The sequence below is a fragment of the Homo sapiens genome, chromosome 8 (genome assembly GCF_000001405.40).
Source record: "Homo sapiens chromosome 8, GRCh38.p14 Primary Assembly".
Classification (NCBI taxonomy): Eukaryota; Metazoa; Chordata; class Mammalia; order Primates; family Hominidae; genus Homo; species Homo sapiens.
In genome coordinates this window covers 17,716,468-17,739,440 of record NC_000008.11, presented here as the reverse complement: position 1 = coordinate 17,739,440, position 22,973 = coordinate 17,716,468, and the positions used below count along the sequence as shown (strand labels likewise).

The window sequence follows — 22,973 nt, the reverse complement described above, 5'->3', positions numbered from 1 at the left end:
GCTCACCACAACCTCCCCTTCCCTGGTTCAAGCAATTCTCCTGCCTCAGCCTCCCGAGTAGCTGGGATTACAGGCATGAACCACCACACCTGGCTAATTTTGCATTTTTAATAGAGATAGGGTTTCTCCATGTTGGTCAGGCTGGTCTCCAACTCCCGACCTCAGGTGATCCACCCGCCTCGGCCTCCCAAAGTGCTGGGATTACAGGAGTGAGCCACCGCGCCTGGCCTGAGTTTTATTTTTAATAATAAAGTCTAATTTGTTTTTTTGTTTGTTTGTTTTCTGTTTGTTTGTTTTTTTGAGACATTTTCACTCTGTCGTCCAGGCCGGAGTGCACTGACTCCACCATAGATCACTGCAGCCTTGAATTCCTGGACTCAAGAAATCCTCCTGTCTCAGCGTCCCATGTACCTGGTATCACAGATGTGTGTCAGCATGCCCAGCTGATTTTTATATATTTTTGTAGAGATGGGGGGGTCTCACTTTGTTGCCCAGGCTGGTCTTGAACTCCTGGGCTTAAGTGATCCTCCCACCTAGGCCTCCCACAGTACCGAGATGACAGGCATGAACCACCACACCAGGCTAACGTTTAATTTTTTTAAAAATTAAAATTCTTGTTGCCCAGCTGAATGGTTTAGAAACTGTGGCACTTTTCTTTTCAGGCCTTGGTTTAAAGCTTGATGTTAACTCTGATGTGAATGATTTTATGTGGCTATTGAAAATTAATGCTGCTTCAGGAAAAATAGCTAATGCATGCCGGGCTTAATACCTAGGTGATGGTTTGGTAGGTGAAGTCAACCACCATGGCCCATGTTTACCTATGTAACAAACCTGCACAGCCTGCACATGTACCCCGGAACTTAAAACAATAAAAAATACAGTAATAATAAAATTAATGCTGCTGAATAAATAACTGCTGAGTAAATCCTTCATGATCAATTCAGACATCTTTAGAGAGACCCGCCTTCACTCTCTTTTGGAGGCAATACCAGCTTTTCCCAGGTTTTAGATGATAAATATCTGTGTTCTTCTCTACACACATGAGTTGCCATTTCAGAGGCCAGCCTGAGCCAGGTAGGATTACAGAAGTAGCGCAGAATGCTCTCCCTGCCCCGTGACTCCTGTGAGCTGAGGAGGGAGAGTGCGTGTTTATGCAGCAAACACAAAGCGGCACAAAGAATGGTGATGGGTGGGGAAAAGGCCCCATGAGAAGAATGTCCAGGGGTGGGTCGGTGAAGAAAGGCCTCCTGAAAGAGATGGTTTTTGGTTTTCTTCTAGAGAAAGAGAAACCACATTTCAAAAGGGCAACTCTTTATTTCAGTTGAGTTTATTGTGGGTTAATAAAGTAAATTCCTTTCAAGACAGTAGTCCGTCCGAAACTTGCAGTGACTTGCCTGTCATCGCAGGTTTCTCTTCTTTCTTGCTAAGTTATTTCCTTCGTGGTTTATGTAAACTGATTATTTTTTCATTCATTTCGTGTTAAGGTAATTTCAAATCTTCTTCAAATTACTTTTATATCCTTTTAAACTTTTCTAGGTGAGAATTTGAGGGAGACAGTAAGCAAAATTATGAGAGATTTTTCACATACTTGAATAAAGTAATTACTAAAAATCAGAGGTTATTACCCAATAAGTTATTCTAAAAGCCAAGTTGAGGCCGGACATGGTGGCTCACATCTGTGATCCCAGGAATTAGGGAGGATGAAGTGGGAGGATTACTTGAGCCCAAGAGATTGAGACCCACCTGGGCAACAGAGTGAGACCCTGTCTTTACAAAACATTAAAAAATTAGCTGGGCAAGTGGCACACACTTGTGGTCCTTGCTACTCAGGAGGCTGAGGTGGGAGGATCACTGAACCCAAGTGGTTGAGGGTTCAGTGAGCTATAATTGTACCACTGCACTTCAGGCTAGGTGACAGGGCAAGACCCTGTCTCTGAAATGTGAATAAAATTTAATTTTAATGTGTCGCTAATAGATGTTTCTATATTTTTATGTAATTAAATTAGTTTCCTTAAAGTGTGTATCAGGATCTCTTTTCATAAAAATAGTATTAGTCACTAACATGTTTTGAGTGCCTGTGTGCGCCAAGCACAGTGCTAAGCCCTCTTTTAAATGCATAATCTCATTTAATTCCCACAACTCCTAGTAGGGATACTGTGATAATCGCCATTCTACAGATGAGGAATTTGAGGGTCTGAAAGCTTCAGTAACGTGTCCAAAGTTACACAGTGGGGTAATTGGTGGAGACGGGAAATGGGCCGGGTGTTCTGGCCCCACAGTCTGTGCTCTTAACCCTGGTCCTTTACGTGCATGCAGAAGTCTTGACACACTCCTGTCTTCTTTCATGGACATATGTGAATTCTTCATTAAACCACATATGTGTGAAGGAGAATGTGGGGAAGGCTGGTTTGTGCTAAGAACTCTTCTAAGTGCTGGAATGAAGTGCACAGAAGAGACCCGTTCCTTCCATTAGGGAGCTTAAATTCTAATAAGGGGATTAAGAAAATAAATACATTTTTGGATTCATGATGATGAATCCAAAAATAAAAGAGAAAGAGCCAAACATGGTGGCTCACGCCTATAATCCCAGCACTTTGGGTGGCCAAGGCAGATGGATCACTTGAGGTCAGAAGTTCGAGACCAGCCTGGCCAAGATGGTGAAACCCCATCTCTACTAAACATACAAAAATTAGCTGGGTTTGGTGGCCGGTGCCTGTGGTCTCAGCTACTTGGGAGGCTGAGGCAGGAGAATCTCTTGAACCTGGGAGGTGGAGGTTGCAGCTAGCTGAGGTCGCACCACTGCACTCCAGCCTGGGTGAGAGAGCAAGACCCCATCTCAAAAAAAACAAGCAAAAAATAAAATAAAATAAAAATAAAGCAGTGAAGGAGATTAGATTTTTAAACGGTTGGTCAAGAAAGGCCTCACTGAGAGGGCGACATTTGGGCAAACACCTGAAAGGAAGGGAGGAGGGAGGCATTTGGGTGTCAGGCGGGAGGACTTTCCAGGCACAGGGACCAGCCGTGCAGAGACCCCGAGGTGAGGCAGGGTGTAGGGTGCGTGAGGAACAGTGAACCACGCACTGTGTGTGGTGGGGGCTGGAGGACATGGATGGGCGGAGGAGGTCAGGACCAACCAAGCAGGGCCATGCAGGTGCCTGCGAGGCACATGTCCTCTTTTCATCCTCACGGACATCATCACTTGTAAATGCTTGATCTTTTCCAGGCGTTTCACACAATTCTTACTTGGCAGTAATTATGGAGAAGATTGCTTTGTGGAATGACTCATGAGTAGGCTTAATATGTCACAGTGCAGGCTTGCCCATTCATTCAAGAAGTGCTTAGAGTCGCTGCTCTGTGTTGGGCAGTGTACTAGATTCTGAGACTACAAACAGGATTAAGCAAATATGCCCTCTTAAGGAGCTTACTGGTTGGAGGGTGAGGGGATAAGGGGGTGTCTAAGCAAATCGTTCCAATGAAAACTCTTGGCTCTTCAGATTCCACCTCAGCTGTCCTGGCCTCTCTGCTGCTTTGCATTTATAGTGCTGTATGCTCATTATTTCCTTACATGTCTGTCTCCTTCTAGACGGTGAAATCCATAAGGATAGAGTTCAGCTCTTAGTTATTTTCATATTTTCCAGTGCCCAGCACAGTGTACTGGTTGCACAACAGGTGTTTAAAAACATTCCTTGGCTTGATTTGAATGGAGACCTGTGCGAAGCACTGTGTATCCACAGTAAAGGAGCAACACTAACTTGTTGTGAGGGAGAACTGGAGGAGAGGCGGTGACATTTGAACTGTTTGGAATGCGCCTGCAGGAGCTTGCCAGCAGAGGAGGCTGCTGGGGTTGCTGAGGGTGCAGATGTGGCCTTGTCAAAGGATACCATGTGCTTGGGGAACGTCAAGGCCAGAGTCAGCATGCCTGGAGCAGACGTGTCCCGGGGTCAATGACAGATGAGCCTCTGCCTCGAGGGAGGTAGAGGCTGATTAGTTCTAATAATGTAGACACAAACTTGCACGAGTGCTACATATTTTTTGGGAACGGATAGTAGAATGCATGTTTAAAATAATTAGGAGACAGAGTGTCTGGCCACTTCTGTTGGTGTGAACAGTCCTAAGTGTCTCCCCAACCGCCGCCTTCAGAGGCTGGATAGGTGGTGGGCCATGAAGTGAAATGTGGAATAGAGTAGCAAGAAGTTTTCCGGAGGAGAATAGTGAGTTTAATTCGGGGCATGTGAAATTGGAGGAGGCTACAGACTGGGAAGCACCTCAGAGGGGTATGTGCATGCCTGAGGTTTAAGAGTAAAAATATGTAGAGACTAAGGAAACCATCAGAAAAGAGCTGACATAAAGATATAAGAGACAGGCCCAGTGGCTCCCGCCTGTGGTCTCAGCTACTAGCTACTCGGGAGCCTGAGACAGGAGGATCTCTTGAGCCCAAATTTGAGTCTACAGTGAGCTATGATTGCACCACTGTGCTCCTGCCAGGGTGACAGAGCGAGACCCTCTGAAAAGAAAAGAAAAAAAAAAAAGTTGGTGTGAAGTTTTGAGGTCTCAATGATCTCACCACCTCATTGCTCAGTGGAGCTCTGCTCATAAACCTTGACTCCTAATGAGCCAGGAGGCTCACTGTGCACCTTCTTTTGTTCTTATCAGGCATTATTAGCATAGGTGTCAGATGGTAAATAAATTTGCTGGTGAACATGTGAAGACCCTTGTTTATCTCCTTTGTATGGTAGCTGGGAAAATGAAGCAACACCTTTAAGTCTTTGGTTTATTCCCCTCTGAATTTAAATGTTCCTGTAGTTGTGGGACACATGTTCCAGGCCTGTGACTAAGGCAGTTATTTTTGTTTAATCCCCACCTGAAGCCACAGACATCTTGTGAACATACTTGCAGAGGCAGGTACTGACAGCATCACCGAGAATGCTGCGCTTCTGTGGAGTTCGAGTCATCGTGAGAACTTCCCTTTGTGGGACTTTTTGCTCCTTTGTCAAATTACTGCAGTCTTAAGACTTGCCGTGTTTTTGTTATGACTCACCTGTGTTGCTCTGCCTTTGTCTGGGGAGCTTACCCTTGAATTTAAGCAAATGAGGATAGTTATACAGAGTCCTATTGCCTTGATGAACTCAAGAAGGTGGAATAGTAAAATCACTATTTGCAACATATAAATCTAGAGTGTTACTGAAATATTCTGTGTTCTGCAACGTATTTACTTAACAGATAGAGCGTGTATGCTAGGTAAGTCATGTACCAGACACTGAGGGATTGTGGGATGAGTAAGATGTAGTTTTTGCCTTCTTGGTATTAACTGCCAAATAGAAGAGGTGACAAGTTCTTGTTTCATCACATTTGTTCTTATAATACTAAAATTTAATAAAAAGAACTGTAGGATTTTGGAAGAGGGTGTAATTACAAATACCAAAGTTCGCTTAATGGTTTTCTTTCTGTAATATAGGAGATTATATAATGTAATAGAGTTACACTCTTAAATAGGTAGGGGCCAGGCTTGGTTTAATGTTGATGCTTTGTGCTGTTTAACTTTTGCCCCCTGAGATCTGAGAAGTAAGGAGGATGCACATGTATTGAGCTATTTTTCAGGACTTGACTGAGATACTAGAAGGTAGAATGAGAAGAGGAGTTATGGCTCAGAATATAGAATGTAGAGATTGAGGTCAAAGTCAGTAATGATGGTGTGAAAATACAGAGGAGGGCCAACAGGTGATTAGGACACAACAGATTGGCTTTCTGGCAGTCAACAAAGAAGAGGCTGACCTAGAGCCTCTTGTCAATGTCAAGAAAGGGATGCGGGGCCCTGTTTTATTCTTTACCTCTTGTGTCTTGAATTTAACCAGGCAAATTGGATAGTTTATCAAGTTTACACTACTCTCTTCCCAGTAGGCTATTTTAAAGGTATAGCATTTTAAATTAAAAGTGAGAAAATAAACACCTGTCATCTTACCACCACCAAATAGCTTTTAACTTAAAAATTTATGACTATTTGGTACCTTTTCTTTTTGCATATTCTCATGCACATATGTTTATGTATATAATGGAGACAGTGTCTGCTGTTTTTTTTTTTTTAATTTTTTTGAGGCACAGTCTTGCTGTGTCGCCCAGGCTGGAGTGCAATGGCATGATCTTGGCTCACTGCAACCTCCACCTCCCTGGTTTAAGCGATTCTCCTGCCTCAGCCTACCGAGTAGCTGAGATTGTAGGTGCCTGCCACCACGCCCAGCTAGTTTTTGTATTCTTAGTAGAGACAGGGTTTCACCATGTTGTTCAGGCTGGTCTTGTGCTCCTGACCTCAGGTGATCCACCCACCTCGGCCTTCCAAAGTGCTGGGATTACGGGCGTGAGGCACCGTGCCCAGCGTGGATCATGTATAGTCTTGAAAATCATAGTTAGGACTTGGAGTTTGAACTGGAGTGACTTAAATGTTAATGGGATCACTCTGAGAGTTGTGTTGGGAGTAGATTGGATATGGGTGAAGTAGGAACAGGGAGATCAGCTTGCGGGGGTCGCTGTGATGGCAGCAGGAGGTTATGTTTTCTCGGACCAGGTTGTGGCAGTGAGGCCCGCTCAGATTCTAGGTATGTGCTTGAAGGTAAAGCCAGTGAGGTTTGCTTAGATTGGATTGGGGGTGAGAGCAAAGGGAGGAGTCACGGATGAACATGACCATGTTGGTGTGAGCAATGGAAGAATGGTGCAGCCTTTACCTGAGATGGGAATGGATGGTGGAAACACAGATGTTGGGAAGGGGAGATCTGAAACTCAGTTACATAGAAATGATTGATAAGAGGCCATGTGGAGTAGAAAACTGGATATGCAAGTTTGAAGTGCGTGGGAGAAATCTGGTCTACAGATATAAATTTAGGATTCAGCACCATATAGAGGATATTTAAAGCCACCAGACTGGATGAGAGCCCCACGGCAGTAAGTGTAGAGAGCACAGGTCAAGGATAGCTCTGGGGTGCTCCCTGGACTCTCCAGAGTCAAGAAGGAACAGCCAGGAACGTAGGGGCATCCCTGAAGCCAAGTAAGGAAAGCCTTTCAAGAAGAAAGGAGGAACCAATTGCATCCAATACTGTTGGCAGGAGAATGGCGCAGTTAAGAACACAATTTACAGCAGGCGACAGAAAACCCAACCAGTGGACATAAACCAGAGGCTGTGTGTGTTTATTCCTCGGGAGGGCTAGAGGCAGGCTGTTCCAGGTTTGACGATTCATAAATGTCCTCTTTCTGCCTCTCCACTCATCTCACATCAGCATGTGGCTTTGTCATTGGCTTTTCAGTTAAAATATGGCTGCTAGGAGTTCCGTGTGCATCCCACCACTTCCTGTGACTGCATTCAAAGGCTGGAAGCAAAGGACGGCATCTCAGGGCAGGGACCTCCTCCTCTCTTTGTTTTTCATGGGGACACCCATGCAGCAGCTCCCCCTTCGCCCTCTTGTCCTTATGTCTGATGGGTACAGACCAGATCTGGCTCTTGCCCCTACTGGCATGAAAGGTTGGAAGCAAGTATTTGACTTTTTAAACTCTTCTATGGGGTTAAGCAATGGTGATGGGGATTAGGAATGACAGTTGGCTCACCAGGAAAGGTGTTAGACACAGTGAGGTTAAATAAAAGAATAATAATAAAAGTTATCAACTCTTTGTATTCATTGTTTCATCAAGAGCTTTCGCTCACTTATATTTGGGGGCATAGGATTTTTTTTTGATCTGCTGCTGTTCATTTCCTTTGCCTGTTGTTTTTATGTCTTTTTATTTTGCATATGGTGATTTCTTAATTTTTTTTCACTTTTATGTTGTCAAATACATTGTTTCCTTTAACTTTTCCTGTGTTTTTATGCATAATAAGACGGTCCCTACTCAAGAAGACTGACCTATGTTTAATTATTTTTTTTATGGTTTCATCTTAAGCCCTTTGCGTTGTAATCCAATTTAATTTATTTTGGTGGATGGCGAGCGCTGACAGCTAATATTTGTATGGTACTTTGTGCCAGATGCTGTTCTAAGCATTTTAAAATTATAAATTCATTTAATTCTCACAAGAACCTATGAGGTAAGGAGTACTCCTATCACCCCCATTCTCACATATGAGAAAACAGAAGTGCAGAACGGTGAGGAACCTGCTCACTAGGCAGTGTGAGGTGGCGCCGGGTTTGAACCTAGACGATCTACCTCGAGATTGTCAACTATTAACTACTGTACCGTTCTGCTTCTCAAATTTTAATTTGGCAATTCAAATATCTTAATACCACAAATAAGTATGTTTTTGCTGATTTAAGATACCTCCCTTATCCTATCCTATCCTGAATTTTTATATCTCTGAGATGTATATACCACCGTATTAATCTGTCAGTATGGTTTTATTCCAGTAGGACTTTTATTATTTTATAATATCTTACTCCAACTAGTTGCACAAGTTCCTTGTTTTTAACTTAAATTGTGGCAAAATATATATTGCACAGAATGTGCCATTTTAACAATTTTTTAAATGTACAGCTCTGTGGCATTAAGTACATTCACATTTTTTGCAGCCATCCTCCATATCCATCTCCAGAACTTTGTTTTCCCCCCTGAAATCCTGTATCCATTTTACTAACCCCCAGTTCTCCGTCTCTTTCAGCCCCTGGCACTCACCACTCTATGTTCTGTCTATATGCATTTGACTATTCTAGTAATCATGAAAGAGAATCATACATTATTTATAACTGGCTTATTTCACTTAGCACCGTGTCCTCAAGGTTCATCCATGTTGTAGCATGTGTCAACTTCCTTTTTAAGGCAGAATAGTATTCCGTGGTATATCTGTACCACCTTTTGTTTATTCGTTCATCTGCCTGTGAACAGTAGGGTTGCTTCCACATTTTGGCTATTGTGAATAATGCTGCTGTGAAGATGGTTGTACAGATACCTGCTCAAGTCTTTCACTTTTTTTTTTTTTTTTTTTTTAAAGACAGAGTCTTGCTCTCTTGCCCAGGCCAGAGTATAGTGGCATGATCTCAGCTCACTGTAACCTCCACCTTCCAGGCTCAAGTGATTCTCCTACCTCACCCTCCCAAGTAGCTGGAATTACAGGTGCCCGCCACCATGCCCAGATAATGTTTTTTGTATTTTTAGTAGAGATGGGGTTTCACCATATTCGCCAGACTGGTCTCAAACTCCTGGCCTGGCCTCCGGTGATCCCCTGCCTTGGCCTCCCAAAGTGCTGGGATTACAGGCACGAGCCACCACCCCCGGCCTGCTTTCACATCTTTTGGATCTGTACCTAGACATGCAGTTGTTGGATTATATGGTAACTTCAGGTTTAATTTTTGGAGGAACCACCATACCATTTCCACAGTGGCTACACCATGTTACATTCCCGCTAGCCTTGCACAAGGGTTCCAGTTTCTCCGTGTCCTTGCCAACACTTGTTAATTTTTTGTTTTTGCTTTTTTTTTTTTTTTTTTTGATGATAGCATCCCATTAGGTACAAAGTGGTATCTCGCGCGATTGTGATTTGCATTTCCCTAGTGACTAGTGATGTTGAGCATCTTTGCATGTGCCTCTGGGCTATTTGTTGTCTTCTTAGGAGAAATGTCTATTCGAGTCCTTTGTCCAGTTTTTAAATTGGGTTTTTTGGTATTTTCGTTGTTGAATTGTAGTCTTAATGTTTTTCTGTTCTAAATTTTTTTTTGGCTATTCTTAATTATTCTAGATTACTTTAACATGTTTTAAAAATTCAATTCCTGCGTTTAAAAGCAATCACATGTAGGTTCAGATTGCAATAGCATTTAATAAGATATCAATTCATGGAAGAATTCACATGTGTACACTTGTTCAGAACTTTTATTTTTCTCATTTTTATAATTTTCACAATAGAATAGCACTTTTTTGATAAATTTATTCACAGAAACAGTGCATATGTGTGTGTCTATGTGTGCAATTCCTTTTTGTTACCAAAGTAAGGGATTTCTTTTTCTGTTTTTTCCTGGCACATAGGAAATATATGGATTTTGTATAATACTTATTTGGTAAGAAGCCCATCAGGTTTATTTAATATTTATACAGTGATACTCTACCATTGAAGCTAAGTTCTTAAACATGTATATTTAGTGTTGGTGAGAGAATTTGGTCCCTTAAGCTTAATTGGAAGTGGACCTGCAGCCACGGTTTTGAGTATGTATAATTTATTTCTCTTATAACTTGTTAACTTGTTTGTCACTTTTAAGTTTCCCCTGATTTTATAATAATTCCTAGTTACTGTAGGTAATTACTCTAAAGGTAACTGTCTCTAAGTAGTTGAGTTGTATTTAAGGAACCCAAGTTATATAATTATAGCTACAGACATATTCTCTGAATTAACTGGAAAAAAAATACATATTCTCATGTCTCGTATTTTAACTGTGTCTGTTAGTTTGGCATTTTCTCTTTCTTACTTAGTAGTTAGTGGCCTTGCCACTTGTGTGCCATACTGATATATTTCAAATGGACCTCAATAATCTTTTCATTTTTTAGTTAAAATTCTCACTTCTCTAACCCTGGCAGGTGCTGGTACACTAGCTTCCTATCTTTTTCCCTGATTTCAGTCTTCAGTCAGTTCTGCACACTGCTACCACACAATCAAGTTCTGATGTAAATGCTAAAAAAGCCTCACCCTCCCCGACCCCCCCAACCCACATCTTCCCACCATATCCATCCCTAACATTTAAGGTCTAAAATTATGAGTCTGGCATTCAATGCCATGTCTCACCCAACTGTAAACTACCTGCCTCTCCAGCCTTATTTTCTTCTTCCCACCTGTGTTCCTACTAAGCTGTATAAACTACAGAACAACATACCTTATGGTGAGACATGATGTTTTCTTTAGTTTACAGTTTTTACTGAGAACGTCTAATTCTGTGGCAGGATGTCAGGTGGTTCTGGCTCTGTATATGTTTGAACTTTGTGATTACTTGCACTTGCCTTACTAGGTAAGCACATAAATACTTGTGTAAGACACACCTTCATGTGAATCTATTGTCCAGATTTTTATTAAGATGATCTGTTTTGGCCAGGCACGGTGGCTCACACCTGTAATCCCAGCACTTTGGGAGGCCACGGCAAGTGGCTCACTTAAGGTCAGGAGTTTGAGACCAGCCTGATGAAACCCCATCTCTACTAAAAATACAAAAAAATTAGCCGGGTGTGGTGTTGTGTGGGTGTAATCCCAGCTTCCTACAACACAAGTTGTGCAGCACATCTGTAGGACGTATTCATCTTGCATAACTGGAACTTTCTACCCATTGAACAACTCCCCATTTCCCTTCCCCACCAGCCCCTGGCAAGCGCCATTCTACCATTTTGTTTTACAGAATAGGATAATATTAATATTAACACTATCCTGTTGTTCACTTAATCTTTCCATTGAAATTTTAGTTTTGCTAGGCGTCTTTTACTGATTTTTATTGTTGTTAAATATAGTATACTTACTCAGGTTTTCTGAGGTGAGTATTTTAGTAAATTGGTTGATTAGTGAAGGTTTGCTTCAAATCCAATAGACTGTGTTACTATCTAAGGCAAAGTGGAGGTGTTATTCCTTCCAGATTTTCCCTACATAAAAGATGGTTATAATTACAGAATAAAAACCAATCTGTTGTCTATACGTAAGTCTATGCTAAGTGCACGAGCTTAAAATAAACCACTGAGGTCAATAATATCCTGCAAGTAGATCTTAAATCTTTATCTTTCTCATCTGGGATAAGTTACACAATACGATATGACCTGGTAAATGTCACCTTTTCGGAACTGTAACTCAGAGAAGTCCTGTATTGATTTCACTGTTTAAGAATTTAGCGCCTGTGTTACTTGCAGTCTCTCAATTAACCTAATATTGCTATGTTTTAGTATTGCCAACTTTACCGTTAAGCTAAACGTCGGGACTGTTGGTGAAATAGTTATATGTCTTTGTTGCATCCGTACGGTTTTCACCATTCCGCTGTAGGAGCTCCTGTCCAGTAAGAGCTCCATTCTGAACTCTGTCTGCCTCCAAGCCTCATACTTTTCTTTAACTGAGATGTTTCTATTCTGTGGCATGGCCGAGGGAACACTGGGCAGGTGGTTAGACACTTGGATTCTAGGCCTTACTGTCACTGGCCGGGTATGTGACCCAAGTAAGCCATTTAACCACCTAAGTAGTCTTCTCATCTATTAACTGGGATAGTAATAGTCACACACTGTTAGGATTATTCTATCAAAGAAACTAATCTTTTGGTGAAATCGGCATTCATTATCCTCATTGCTCATTAGTCAAGAGCCATGGTGGAATTGGGAAGACTTTGGTGAGGACTGGCTGCCATTAGGTGTAGGGGATGGGCCTGGATGGGGGTGACAATGAGATAGGGGAGGTCAGGGAAATGATATTTGGTTGCCGGGGTAAGCTTTCCTCTAGTGCAGCTGTGTGAAGGTACAGGTCTTCTGTAGTAATTCCCAGGCACACTCAGAAATGTCTGCAAACCTAAGTTGTGTTTAGAAACAAAGCTATGAGGCATGCATTTCTGAAGAATAAGCTGATTTCCAAAATGTAGGAAGCCTTGGCTGCACTGTGGCTGTGGCCCAGTCATTTTGATCTGTTACGTGCCCAACCTTGCTTATTAGTTTTGATGATGACTCATCAGTGTTTCTGCTGAAGGGGCGGCAATTTGGCAAATTTATATTCTAAAAATCTGTTTTCCTGTTCTTCCTAAAGCAAGTAAAACTGGTGGCTAACCATAAATTTTTAAAGTGTGTATTTGCTATCTAACAGTTGCTAATTATTGTAAAGGATGTAAAGAAAAAAGTCTCTAATAGACTGAAGATTCAAATAAGCTTGTAAAAATGGGTTAAGCACTGAATGCTTCAGTATAGATGATGGGAGAACACATTATCAAAATACATCATTTACTGTTGGCATTTAAAAAAATGAATTTGTTGAGGAAACATTTATTAAGTCTCACTCCATGCTAGACCTTTGCCAGTTCCTGAGGACCAGAATTGAATCAGGTGCTCTTCCTGATCTCAGGAACCTTAGAGATGGTCCAAGAAGAATGTGGAGGCAAATGCTGTGATAGAAACAAGTACATGGTGTGAGGAGAAAGCAAGGCTTAGTCCACGGCATTCAGAGAAGGGTGTCCTGGCAGGATAAGCTCACAGAGAGGTCCTGATTCTCAACAGTGCTTCAGAAACTCCAGGTGCATTTTAATCACCTGGGGATCTTGTGAAACTGCAGGTGGTGATTCAGTAGGCCTAGGGTGGAGCTGCAAATGAGTAGCAAGGGTTCAGAAGAGAAGCTTGAGCTGACTTTGGATTCACTGGACAGAAATAGGGGAGGGGATAGAAAGGAGGCCGTTCAGTCGGAAGGATGGGCGTAAGCAGAAGAATAGAGCGAAATGACTGGAGAGAAACCACGAAGGGGTGTGTGTGTATGAAGGGGTAGAGGCATGGCCTGAGGGGGAAGAAGTGGGTAGGGATCAACCCCACATTGCCTTTTAAGCCTGTGAAATTAAATATTAAATAAAAGGATTGAAACTACGATCACCATCCTATAGATTGGGGTGTGCAATCTTTTGGCTTCCCTGGGCCACATTGGAAGAAGAAGAATTGTCTTGGGCCACACATAAAATATGCTGATGATAGCTGATGAGCTAATAAAAGAAATTGCAAAAAAATCTCATAATGTTCTAAGAAAATTTATGAATTTGTATTGGGTTAGCGTTCAAAGCTGTGCTGGGCCGCATGCTGTAGATGGTGGAGAATCCCAAATTTTAGATTGGGTCATGACCTTAATTTTCACATTTAGGAGATTAACATGATGGAGTTGGAAGGGATGGAAGGACAGGATTTTAGGAGTCCAATACAGTTTAGACAATGATATAAAGGGTTAAATAAGGATTCAAAGGGTGGAAGAAGAGCTCTTTGAAAAGAAATGATGTGCCTGTTGGAATATTAATAGAATAGCACATGATGTGCCCTGGTGTCAGAGAGAAAGCGAGGTTAATCGGAGCAGAGCACACATGGATGTAGGAGAGCCATACAAGAGTGAGGCTGGAGCCGAAGGAGGGGAGCTTAATGTGGTAATTTCAAATGCCAGGCCTGAGGAGCTTCAGCATCTTTTTCTCCATTAGGATGAGGTTTTTATGAGCAAAATCGCTAGAACAAAGCAATGGGCATTACTTTCCAGCAGCATTATTTGACTCACTTATGGGATCCTTAGTGATACGCAACAATGTCATTTTCATCAAAGGTCTTTTTCAACTCTGGGTAGTCTTCAGTTAGGTGGTACTGGTAGCATTGGGAGACAGTGCTAGAATATATGGGGATCTGGGGAAGAAAAGATGATTCCAATGGTTTGAAGCTGGAAAAAAATAAAAAATAGGGCTATATGGCTGGGTGGGGTGGTTTACACCTGTAATTCCAGCAGTTTGGGAGACTGAGGCGGGAGGACTGCTTAAGGCCAGAAGTTTGAGACCAGCCTGGGCAACAAAGCAAGATTTTTAAAAAAATAAAACAGTGGAGCTATAATTAGCATAAACAGGAGCATGTCGGTCTAAGATGAAAACCTAGAGTACTCAATAAGTACTTTAAAACATGAGTAGCCTTGAGATTCAGAAGGAAGATAGGGCTGCAGGTGAGAACATGGGATTCATCCGCATAGGACAATGGTTAGAGGAAAGTAGAGAAAATAGACTCTCCAAGAGAATGGGCATGAGGAGGGTTAAGAGCGAAAGACTGGGCTTGGGAAATGCCCATATTTAGGTAGCAGGTTCGTGAGCATCAGGAGAATGTAGTTTCAGAGATGCCAGAGGATACGCAGCCTGTATATTTATTTCACTGATAAGTGGAAACATTTTTACTGCAAGAAAGAGTTGCAAGTTGGAGTGAAGATCATTTAAGTTTGGCAAATAAACTGTGTGGGGAGTAAAGAAGAAAAGGTGAGATTAAAAAAAAAAATCTTAATAGTATAGCACCACCTGGTGTTAGAACATTAGGCATTTTTCAAATGAAATTTTTGCTTATCAAATTGCATTTTTCTTCCTGTTTGGGTGATTTTAAAATTTTCCACTCAGGAGAATTTTGTTAAAGTTTTCAGTTAACGTGAGTTCTGTTTTCTGTGTATAAATGAGTGAATTTCCTGAGATCTCTCTTTCATTCCAAAGATGTATTTGGACTTGGTTCTTATTTATTTCTTATATGATAGCCTATTGTCCTAATGGATTATTTTTTTTTTAGTCACCAGTATGGGGGGTCGTATCAATTTGTTTATTTTTTTATTTCAGTTTTGCCAAAAGCTGCTTTCTCATGATTATTCTGATTGATCATCTCCTTCAGAGAACATGTGTGAGTTAATTACTTTAGGAGACAGGGTTACTCCTACACTTCTCATATCCTAATTGCCTCATCATTTCTGCTCTCTTGCCTCTAAATGATCAAAAATAAACATGTCTGCGTGAAGCTTTCATCTTTCATCTGAAGTTACATGATTGTGAACATTCATTTTGTGTTTTGACTTTGTTGTTAGTGCAGAAGTTTGAGTTTACAGGCTTAAAAAGTGCCAGCTTTCGGGATGAATAGCACTGGAAACTTTTTGTTTTTTTTAAACCCCAAGGAAAGCCTACATCCTTGAAAACTGCACAGTCGTCATGGGTGAATTTGCCTAGACCACTTCCTAAATCCAAAGCATCTTTGAAAAGTCCTGCGCTGCGGAGGACAGGAAGCACCCCCTCAATAGCCAGCACCCACAGTGAGCTGAGCACTTACAGCAACAATTGTAAGTCGACTTTATATCACACTTCGGGGGTTGTGGAAACAGTCATTACAAGAAAAACTAATGCTCTGCAAATAATTAGAATTTTTGTTTCTGGGGTTTCAGGAAAAATAGGCATACTGCTTCCTTGGAGTTGCTCTGAAAGTTTGGCAGAAAAAAAATTCTTTGAAAAACACTCTTGAAATAATTATGTGTTAAAGTATATTTTTGCATGAAGGATTCGAAAGTGCATCGTCTGAAGTGATGGTGTTTTGGAGGTTTAAGAGTAGCAACCCAGGGGATTTGGACTCTAACTGGAATCAGAAAAAAAGATTATTTCAGTTTCATTTACTTTGCAAAAGACTATCTCCTGTGGAATCTTTGGATGCTAGATTTTGTGTAATAGGACTAATATAACTTGAATCCTAATTCTAAAAAATTGAAACTCAGGAGAATTTTGTTAAAGTTTTCAGTTAACGTGAGTTCTATTTTCTGTGTATAAATGAGTGAATTTACTGAGATACCTCTTTCATTCCAAAGATGTATTTGGACTTGGTTCTTATTTTCTCATTTCCTTTTTTATACTTCCCCACGAAATAATTCATAAATTTAAACCATCTTGGAGTGCCCGCTGTGCACAGACACCATGATAGGCGCAGTGAGGAGCACAGGATATAAAAGAAATGGCCCTTATTCTAAAAAATAGTTGAGGAGAAAAAGAAGGTATTTTCATGGATGATGAGAATACCAATAAAACCAGACACAAGGGTGTGGAGAGGAGTGGCGAACTGATCTCTTCAGTTTGACAGATCAGTTTCTTCTTTTGGGTGAGGAGTTGGGGACAAAGTGTAATAATGCTCATGAGGCTCCTCTGGGTGTGGAGCAGTACTTTAGGATGTCCATATTTGCTTTTATTTTTTTCTCTCAGGTAACTTCTGCTGTTACCCTGATATTTATATAGAAGGTGATTGAGGCTCAGAGATGTTGTCACTGGTCTAAAATCACACAGCAGCTATGTGAGGGAATTGAGAATGCATTTTTTGTAGAGAAGGCATTGAATTAATGACCGAATTAATGAGCACATTTCCGACGGGTCACCTAGCAGCAGTAGCTGGACTCATATGAGAGTAAGTAGCTGCATACCCTGGCACTTCAGGAATACTGGGATATGTGACTTGCAATTAAACAGGATTGTTACCAGCTTTACTGTTGGAATTTTGAAGGTGTGGCACAAAATCAGGCTTGCATGTAAGAGGGAACTCTGAATTTGAAAAGGTAATTCACACGTGTATTATTTTAAGCTCTCTTTGTCTTGCAAAGCAATTTTAAAGACAAACTGCCAAAACAGAATCACCAACATGCTCTAGAAAAACTGTTGTGGCAACAGAATTTGTGGCACTTGAAGCAGACACAGTCTGTAGTGCCACAGCCCCGTGTTTTCCATCGACATCCATGTTGACTTGGCCACCGTTTCAGTACTGTGTCTGATGCTCCTAAGGAGGCTGTAAAGTGCTTTTGTCCATTCCTTTTTGTCTTTTAACAAAGGGGTTTACCATACACCCACAGAGCCTGTCTAGTGGCGATGTGTTCCTGTTGCGGATTAAGCATTCAAATCAGTGAGTCTCTTTCTTAGTTTGATTTGCTAGCTGGTTTAATCTGTTTTGTGTAGTGCCTTGGAGCTTACGCATTTTTTTTTTTTTCCCTCCATTCGAATTCACTAAGAGCAAGCATGAGGGATATGAGAGTGAACATGGCTGCAGTTTTTCCTGCTTAAGCTTGCTTTGATCCTTTTAAATGACTGTACCAGGAGGATTTCGCAGTTGTACAGAAACTGATATTTCTTCAAAAATCTTTATCAATTCTACACTCACCCCACCGGCTGGTTCAGAGAGGCACTATGATGCTACCTTATTGACACTGCTGGTCGTGGGATCGTACAGCCTTTGTATAATTCCTTTGTTAGCCACGTTTACTGGGAAAAAAAGTAGGTCGACGATTTCTGGTTTCTTTTCTTTGTAAGCATGCTTAAATTTTTATTCAATAAATTGATTTAGGATCTCTTGACTTCTGTTTTTGTAACTTGTAATTTATGGTAATGGTAGTATTTGGGGGCATTTTGTATGTATATTTAAGATGTGAATGCTTCTGTGTAGGACCAATTTTGTTGTCTCTTTTATGTGTTTTGCACTCTTAATATAATTCAGCAGCATCGTTAATGTTCTGGCACATGAAATTATCCTATTATCAAAGACTTTTTGATGGTTTAATTTCTTATGAAATAACTAGTTTTTGTGTGTATGTAGCTGGTAGTTGTGCAAGTGTAGAAAAATACTTTTCTAAAATTAAAATGGAAACATCACATCTTTATTTTCCTAAGTTGTAACTGAAAGTATTAAACATGTATACTTTTAAAGGCTACCTCAAAACATGAAAAAATCATCTCGCGCTGAAAATTTCCTGTTTCTGATAATGGGTGGTCATGTTAAGAATTAACTTCCTCTTTTGATCAGTGTTCTGATTTATACTGGCTTAAGTATTTGAATCCCTTTAACAAATATTGGTTTCTCGCTTTGTCTGCTTGTTTCTTTGTGATGTGATATCTTTAGTGGCATCATTTAAGAACTTCTGATATAACACAGTGCTGTTGTAAAATTAGCACTGGGTTCTCGGAACTTTGGGATCCTATAGAAATAATGTTACTAAATTTTTTAAATGACCAAATCAAAATACGTAAGGCAATAAATTGTTCTTATTTGGGAATTTTAGCAGGTTCTTTGTGTGTGTTCTTTTAAGTGTAGAAAATTTCAAAGTTACGATCTTGATCCTTTTGGATATTAGTGTAAAACATTTCACAATGGTTTCTATACCAAATGTGCTCATTTATAGAGGTTAAAGATTATAAGGTCTTTCACACTCAGATACCTAATATCCAGTTTTTAAGATCATTAAAGTAACTGGGTAAAAATAAATGATATATTGTATGTCATGAACAGAGTTGAAGATTTGGGGACTATTGTGCAATTTAGAAGGGGGTCTTGGGAGAGTGTATAACTTTGCGATGTTAGCAGGAAAGTAAGGTCCAAAGACATTACTTCCTCTTCCACTTTGGCCACAAAACCATGTTTATATTTGAGAGCCAGATGGTAGGGGAAATGTAAGAGGTGCAGACCAAAGCTATTTGCATTCTCCTGGAAATGGAAGGAACAGAAGGAGACTGAATAAAAGAAATGGAGTGTTCTTTCCCTTCACCTTCACTGACAGCCCTGGCTGAGTGGGGTGTAACATGCAGAAAAGGGCACTAACCTTGGACCCACCTTAGTTTGTTTTTTGTTTTTTGTTTTTTTTTTTTTTAGATGGAGTTTCGCTCTTGTCGCCCAGGCTGGAGTGCAGTGGCATGATCTCAGCTCACTGCAACCTCTGCCTCCCGGGTTCAAGCAATTCTCCTGTCTGAACCTCCCAAGTAGCTGGGATTATAGGCATGCCCCATCATGCCCGGCTAATTTTTGTATTTTTAGTAGAGATGGGGTTTCACCATGTTGGCCAGGATGGTCTCGAACTCCTAACCACAAGTGATATGCCTGCGTCTGCCTCCCAGAGTGCTGGGATTACAGGCATGAGCCACCACGCCCGGTCCCACCGTAGTTTTCCTACTAACTCATGTTAAGTTGGACTATCTTTGTCTTTTCTTAGCCTCCAGCCTCCATACTCTCCTCTGATCAATGACAAGGGAGGACTGGGTCATCTTCAAAGTCCTTGCAGCAACAAACATTTCTGACCCTTTTCACTGCAATAAGACAGGGCCTCATTGTTTGGCAGGATGGTGTTTTGAGTTGTTCAAGTGATTAAGCTGATAAAGAATAGGGTGGATCTTATTTACCCTTAGTTTTTTGTTTTTTGTTTTTTTTCTTCTCTCACAACAGGAATGGGAAGTGAATATTGTCTCACCTGCCAACACTGGTTAGTGGCCAACACTGGTTAGTGGATAAGAATTCGCCTGTAGGATGGTGTCAGTGGTTTCTCAGGGTGCCTCCAGGTTCAGAGGGAAAGTTTTGTGTTCAAGTCGTGATGTCTGTCATGGGTGAGGCTAAGATGAGGAACAGGCGGTAGATTCATTAGGCTCCACATCACAAAACATGTTAGTACTTACGCACTTCTGAATGGACTATTTAAAAAGGAAATATTATCCAGACCACTGTTAACTTTGTTCTCGTTCTTTCTCTGTTCACGTTTTTCTAGGGTATATGTGAGACATTCTTGTTATTATATAGTTGAGTGATATTGCTTTTGAAATTCAAAAGTTTAGATTTCAGTAGTACTTTGATTTTAAGCCAAGTGGGCAGATGATCTGGCACAGTGGGGAGTGTTAAACTGATTCACATAAAATTCAAGAAATGAACAGAATGTTGGCTCTGTGTGTATATACATAATGTAATAAAAGCGAATTTTCACTAGGTGTTAGAATGTAGTATGAATGTTAGTTTGCAGATAAAAGTCTGAAACAATGAGAAGCCCTTTTCTTTTTTTTTGAGACAGAGTCTCACTCTGTTGCCCAGGCTGGAGTGCAGTGGCACGATCTCGGCTCACTGCAACCTCCGCCTCCTGGGTTCAAGCAGTTCTCCCACCTCAGCCTCCTGAGTAGCTGGGATTACAGGTGCCTACCACCACGTCCAGCTAATATTTGTATTTTCAGTAGAGACAGGGTTTTGCCATATTGGCCAGGCTGGTCTCAAACTCCTGGCCTCAAGTGATCTGCCCACCTTGTCTTCCCAAAGTTCTGTGATTACAGTTGTGAGCCACTGTGCCCAGCATGAGAAGCCCTTTTCTAATAGGAAAATCATGTCTTCTGCTTGGGCTTTCCTGAGAATATCCCTTAGTTTTTCCTTTTAGACTCACCAGCTCCTTTATTTCACTTGAACCACACTTTGGCCATGGGGAAATGAAGATAAAGATTCCAGAGAATCTGTTATTCTGGCATAATTGAGACAGTTGGGACCAAAGATGACAAAGGGGCAGTTTTAAACTACATATTAGATCAGGTTGAGAAGTAGGTGGCCACATGAAAAATTTTATGTATTGTCTCTTCAAGCCAGCAGTGTTTAGTGTCCATGGCTCTCTAGAACACTGTCTTTAGGATGATTCTGAGGATGCATCCAGCCTCAGTGGGACTGAATACCACAGTGAGTTGTGAAGGCAAATGCACTGTCTATTCCCATACCCGATATGGGCGAATGCACTGTCTATTCCCATACCCGATATTCAGACCCTTGTTATTCATAGATAGGTGATTCAGCACAGCTAGGCAGTGGTCAAGTCAGCACCAGAACTAGGATATTTTACATCCTGTTCCATTGCTGGAAACTATTATGCATCTCTTATATTGGAATTGTTGCCGCTGAGGACTTTATTGTTTGGATATAATGACTCTGGCTGAGGGAAAATTTAGATAGCATCAGGATACTCAGTCAGTTGCCATGTTAGGAACAGAAATAGAGGGCAGGGGAAATATTTGAAGAGCATTATGACTCATGGTGGTATACATCCTTCAAGTTGGGGTTTACTGGAAAGCAGTGGGCCAGCCTAGAGTACAGTAAGTAGAAATTGAGAGAAAGATATTGTTAGTCATAAAATTATGTTCAGCTCAGTACAGGTTGTGCCTGCCATTAGTAAAGCAGAAAGCAGGTACAATCGTTGATCATAGAGTATATGAATATGTATCTTGTATATATAGCTTTCATGTAAATATGTATAAAATATAAATGCATGTGTGTTTGTACCTGAGTCAAACGCAGACATTTTATCCTTGCAGTATGAATTCTGACTTCATGTTGCGTGTTATGAAGCTGATGATGGGTGTGGTGCCGGGTTGATCTAGTGTTGTATTGAGTCTGAAAAGTGGCAGTGAGACAGCTGATTTCCAGCACACCACCTCCTATTTTGCATGTGACAGAGAGGCAAGGGACACAGGAGTACCATCCCTCATGAAGAACCTGTCCTTTACTTTAGTGAAAATCTTTTTACTGATCTCTTTGTGAACCGTGGGCCTTTGTGTCTCTAAATTTTAGAAAAGAAAAGCATGAATTTAGAATCATACAATTGCATATTAGGTCTGTAAATTGAACTCAGTTTAATTTTTTAAAATATGAATAAGTGACTTATTTGTTGCTGAATATAATCAAATACGGCTTCAAGAAAAGTAAGACTAAAATCCAGATTGTTATAATTCCATGGTTAAGACTGTCTAATTTTCTTTGTTGGATTTGATTCAGCAAAAGCTAAAATGCTAATTGAAACCCAATATCCATTTTCTATGAACATCTAAAAAGGGTTCTGTTGAATGTTGTAATGGCGGTGTCTTTAATACTGTCACTCCCATTAGCTTCCTGTCAACTTTGGAAAAGCCAAGTCTCTAGGTTCTAGGGAAGGTGAGAATTGGAAAAAAGGACAGGAAATTGACAGAATTTTCTCAGCAGGAGGGAAAGCTCTGTGTTGATTTGACCTAATATTAGGAATGTTATTTGGGCACGAGAACAATGAACAGATGGCTCATTGTACAGGGCCTGGGTGTGGATTAGGGGAAAATAATAGCACGCCTGTACAAAGTTTGAATGTGATGTGTATAAGCACTATTGTAGCAGTTGGAATAGGTTAGCCTAGTGAAAAATTTCTAGCTGTCTTCACATTTATAATGCATTTGTAAACAAGGTAGGTATCTTAACCCTTTGCTAAGTGAGTGAAGTGAGAAAAGGGATCATAGTTGGTAATAAAGAAATTTATAAGCGTTGAATAGTAGAATAGAATTGGGTGCCTAGAATTGGATATTGATCATTATTTGGAAACAAACAGGCTAGGTGCGGTGGCTCACGCCTGTAATCCCAGCACTTTGGGAGGCTGAGGCGGGCAGATCACGAGGTCAGGAGATCGAGACCATCCTGCCTAACACAGTGAAACCCCGTCTCCACTAAAAATAGAAAAAATGAGCCGGGTGTGGCCGCGGGCGCCTGTAGTCCCAGCTACTCAAGAGGCTGAGGCAGGAGAATGGCGTGAACCCGGGAGGCGGAGCTTGCAGCGAGCCGAGATCATGCCACTGCACTCCAGCCTGGACGACAGAGTGAGACTCCGTCTCAAAACAAACAAACAAACAAACAAACAGTAGAAAATCCAGTCTGGATTGGTGGAGGGGAAATTTTTACACATAATATAAAAAGATGGTTTTTGTTATTGAGGTAAG

The 22,973-nt window shown here is 41.0% G+C and overlaps 1 protein-coding gene across 11 annotated transcripts in view, besides 1 other annotated feature; it reads left to right on the top strand.

The window, feature by feature from the left end:
- MTUS1 (microtubule associated scaffold protein 1) overlaps window positions 1-22,973 on the top strand; it is a 157,720-nt gene that overhangs the window by 62,081 nt on the left and 72,666 nt on the right. For 6 of the 11 annotated variants that reach the window (NR_156437.2, NM_001363061.2, NM_001363057.2 and 3 more), the window contains one exon: window positions 15,608-15,769. The exons of 3 other annotated variants lie outside the window; for them this stretch is intronic. Coding sequence is in view for 6 of the 8 variants with exons in the window: in NM_001363061.2 (NP_001349990.1) it covers window positions 15,608-15,769 (162 nt within the window). In the remaining 2 variants the exon portion in view is untranslated. Of the gene's footprint in view, window positions 1-15,607; window positions 15,770-16,865; window positions 17,021-17,451; window positions 17,730-22,973 lie in introns of those variants that run through there. 2 more of the 11 variants (NM_001166393.2, NM_001001931.3) reach the window with 2 other exon arrangements.
- Window positions 4,882-4,931: an enhancer, noted in NCBI's record as "active region_27047". NCBI's record gives its function as "activates an Ori minimal core promoter by ATAC-STARR-seq in GM12878 lymphoblastoid cells {active_cell/tissue: GM12878}" and the evidence as "EXISTENCE:reporter gene assay evidence [ECO:0000049][PMID:35858748]".